This window comes from Homo sapiens, chromosome 12 (genome assembly GCF_000001405.40).
Source record: "Homo sapiens chromosome 12, GRCh38.p14 Primary Assembly".
Classification (NCBI taxonomy): domain Eukaryota; kingdom Metazoa; phylum Chordata; class Mammalia; order Primates; family Hominidae; genus Homo; species Homo sapiens.
In genome coordinates, this window is record NC_000012.12 from 28,936,009 (window position 1) to 28,940,470 (window position 4,462).

The following is a 4,462-nucleotide window of genomic DNA, read 5'->3' on the forward strand; positions in this document are numbered from 1 at the left end:
CCTGTTTCATGGATATTACGTTCTCGTAGGAAGTAAGCAATAAGTAAATAAACACACCGTTATGATTTAGGTAATAATAAATATTTTGAATAAAACTAAAGCAATAGAGACTATCTGGTGTGGGAGAGTAAAAGTGGGAAATTATTTTGGATAAGGTGAATCAGGAAAGGCCTCTATAAGGACGTAACATTTAAGCAGAAACTTGGATGAAATGAGGAAGGAAGCCAGGTGCATATCTAGGGCAGAGCCTGCCAGACAGCAGGGAAAGCCAGTGCAGAGGCCCAGAGGCTGTGGTAGGTTTGGTTTGCTAGAGAAACAGCAAGAAGGTCACAGTAGCTGGAGCAGAAAGGGGGAGACAGAGCAGGAGGAGATGGAGTTGGTGAGGAAGGAGAGCACTTTGTGTAGGCTTTTGTTCCCTTGGCAGAATTTCAGCCTTATTTGGAGAACAGTGGAAATCGGCCAGAGGATTCTGAAGAGTGGAATAATGTGGTCTTCATAGAGCCAGTTGTGGCTTGAAGCCTTCTGTCACTTCTCATTATAACCATCCATTCTACCATTATTTCTTCCAGTATGATCCAATAATCCTTTTAGTGAAGGGAGGATAAAAAATCCTTTATACTTATTTTGTTACAATAGCACATAAGGAGCATCCCCTTACACTCCAATGTTTTGCAGCAATTTTTACATACAGTCCTACCTGTTATAGGCCCTCTCCCTAAGTCCTTGGGTCAGAGGTTGTGAGATTTTGGAAAAAAAGAGTAACAGATATTCTTCTGTTCTCAAAATTCTCCTTTTAATCTCACTAGTTGTTTATTGTCCCTGGAATAATGTTTCCCAGTGAGTCCCCTTCTGTTTCCAGGGTCAGGGTTCTCCTCACCCATGCTGTTCCCTGGCAACCTTTCCGAAAAAATTCTTGGGCAGGCCCATCCTTCTTGTCTTCGAGATAGAGGAGCTTATGCCAAGACTCTGGCATCCTTTCATAATACATGTTCAGTGTCAACCCTATTTGCTGTGGCCTTGGAAAAGTCTTGGTCTCTGGATTGGTGAGTCTTGACATCAGTTTATTATTGGCACCTAGGGATTCTCCTGTATCCTCTACGTGACTCCCTCCAACATTTCAAAAGACAGTATTCTGAAATGTCTTGGAGAATAAACCAAATTGTCAAATTGTCTTTCTTTGGAGATTTTACCTTCAGTTTCTTACCTTCAAGTCTTCAAAGAAGATGAAGATTTTGGAGCAATATGATACTTTACATATTATTATACTTTTATTTAATATCTGTTTTTCACCCAGTCATTGTTCATTAAGCAAGTATTTATTAAAGTGACTCTGTACTGAGGAATGTGGTGAAGAATGAGGTGCAAATGTAAGCTGAGAAGTCAGGGATGAGAGCGTGTCTGCGAATGTAAGCTGAGAAGTCAGAGACGAGAGAGTGCCTGATAAACACATGGACTCATCCAGGTTAATTGCACCACTGAGGATCTGTGCCCATCTGTAGTTTTTGCTGTTATTGTATTGCTTTTGCAAAGAAAAACCTGTTGATAATGACTTAGGCAATAAAACCTTCTACCACTCTGTAGAAATACAAAGAATAAAATGGTTCTCATATTTGATCAGCAGCATCTTTAGGTATGATTAATCCGTCAGCCTGAAGAGTTAAGATAGAAAGTGATGCTTTTGCTTTTTACAAGGAGACCAACATGCCATTCTACTAAGGTGCTCAAATGTTTTCTGTTTTTCCAAAGAAAGGTTTTCTGCTAAACAGATCCCTGACTTAGCTCTACTCTCCAACAGTTTTCAATTTTATAACTTTCTACTTGTTCTTCCTTGAGGGTATTTTTTTATACAAATGTTTGATATGTGTGTTCCATTATCAATAGCCTTTTCGTTGTTCAAGGAGTTAGTTCCTTCTCCAGTTTTTATATCATTTCAAAGTTTCCCTCTTTTCCTTTGTTTATAAAGTAAAGAATATCCAAGTAAATCTTATTTTCTTCTCCATAATGCTATCCTCTGCTATAGTGCATACTGAATTCTGCTTCTGCACAAACAGAATATAATAATATATCCCTGCCTTCCCTCCGCATTAAATAAGTGGATATTGTGACCACGGATACTGGTCATAATTTAATTTGAAAAATACTAATTGTTCAAACTTACTTGAAATAACACAACCAACAATCCTGCATTTTCTTTAATGATCAGGCCTTTGCATTAGAGAGAATGAGACACTCCAGAGGGGAGACTTGCCTGGACCTGCGTGGAGCTGCTCTGGCAGTATAGGGAAGATACCCCTGCTACAGGCAGTTCATTGCTACCGCCTTCATCAGACAACACATGGACGGCAAGATCTTAAAAACATGTTTTTACTGTTTTGAACTAATTTCATTCTGGAAAACTCTTATTGCTGCTTTAAATTTTTTTTTTTAATTGTCCTATGACTGCTTTGAAATTGCTCCTTTCTGGTCCTCTCCCTTCTGCTTTCATCACTTGCTCATGGCTTTAGGGACATTTACATTTTGGACAATTATTTAATTCCATTTTCAAATCAGGTTTCTGAGTGCTGCATTTTTACTCCATTGTTATGTTTTGTTTTGTTTTGTTTTAACCTGTTGCCAGAGGTGCCACATGGGACTGGAACACACCTTCTGCCAGACACAATCCTGAATTCATTAACTTGCCATTTCCTTTGCTCTTGATGGGACCTGACAGACAAGCACCTCCATTAAAGGAATATTTACCCAACACCAACATCTGCCAAGAAAAACAGAAGGAAACACAGAAAGGCAAAGAAGTGGGTGGGGGGACGCATGTGTTTAGAGATTGGAAGAGCTTTTAATGAAAGTTATTGTTTGGGAGTCTGGAATCATGATTCCTGCTTTTGCCAGAAGTGTCTCGTCAGCGACCTAAGATCGAATATCTGAGCTAAGGGGAAAACCTTGAACTCCTCAATTCCGAGACAACATGGCTTAAAATCAGGACAGACTTCTGACAGGGAAATTAACATTGTGATCTCAGCGGGAGTCTCTGTAGGGTGGTAGCCCACTGGACTACAACATAATCTCTGGTAATTAAACACATTTGGCCTCTTTCGTGTGTGGGAGAAGTCACGGATGAGCAAATCGGAGGATTTGATTTTATGCTGGAAGGAGGGTGGTCTTGCTAAGTCGGGGTCAGCTATCGGGCAAGAAGGCCAGGGCAGAGCCTGTAGTTTGGCTGACTGACATAACCCCTGGGTAATCAGAAAACTGAAATCATGCCTTGACATTCTCATCATCTCACAGTCCCAGAATACGCAGGGAGAGGGGAATGAAGGTGCAGTTATCAGCCTGGGCTTATGTACAGCAGAGGCCAGCCTCGTTTCTCTCTACCCACTGGGTTTCTTCCCAGTGGCTCCTTCTGCCGCAAAACCAACAAACAAAATACAGACAATTTTTCTCTTTCTCCTTGTCTCTAACACTCTGAAAGAAAAAAAGACTTTCAGTGAGTGAGGGAAAGTACAGAAAGTAAGAGTGATATCTTTCTTTCATTCCATTCTATAACATAGATGATGTGACCTTGGCTTCACCTTTCCGAATAATCCACAGTCAGCCATGGGAATAAGAAGCAAGTTATATGAGTCACACCTTTTAGAAACATTGTGTGTCACAGCTAATTGTTGTCCTCTGTCATGAAGAACTATCCAGAGGCCTCAACTCAGGAAAATTTCCGTTTGGGCCAGGACTAACTACAATTCCTCTACTGTCTTTCCAGAACCCCTTGTCCTCCACACTCTTCTGCAGGGACCAGGAGAGCCAGTGAGGAGGGTCACTGGACTGCTGGAGACTCAAAGCTCAGAGGAAGAGAACCAATAGAAGGGCTCATCACAGAAGCCTGAGCCTCTCTTTCTTCTCCCCTATGATTTAGGCTCCTATACACAATGGTGTTCTAAGCCCGATAATGTTGAGGGCTTCTCCCCTGGGTCTTAGACCTTGTTTCACAAGACCCTAACTCTCCATGCTGTACAACTGCAATTCCCTGGAATGTTAAGTGGTATCTCATGAACAAGCGTTTCATAGTCAAACAAGTCCTTCTTCACTGAAGGACTTTTCTAAATCTTTGTGATGCTAACATGCAATGCAAAACTGAATTCCTCAGTAGGTAGCATTTCCAGAATATATTTGACCATGAAATAGTACTGTCATGATAACCCCAAATCTGCCAGGACTAGAGCTATGAGAAACATGTATAAGAAAGCAATTATGAGAACTCCTGTCTGCTCTCTAAAAATACAATATTATGATCAGAGGAAGTTATAGCTCTGTTGGATTTGAACAATTACAGTGAATGTGAACTATTACAGCCAGATCTTCACATTTTAGTTCAAAGGATATGCTCTGAATTCCCTGACTATATGTGGTCCCTTAATTATATACTCTGTTGGCATGGCTGAATAATATAGTTTGCTATCTATTGATATACAGT

At 40.6% G+C, this 4,462-nt stretch overlaps 1 annotated feature.

Moving 5' to 3' along the window:
• Window positions 2,774-3,973: an enhancer, noted in NCBI's record as "BRD4-independent group 4 enhancer chr12:29091715-29092914 (GRCh37/hg19 assembly coordinates)". NCBI's record gives its function as "activates an origin of replication core promoter dependent on BRD2, P300/CBP, MED14 and CDK7 cofactors, and independent of BRD4, by STARR-seq in HCT116 cells {active_cell/tissue: HCT116}" and the evidence as "EXISTENCE:reporter gene assay evidence [ECO:0000049][PMID:35650434]".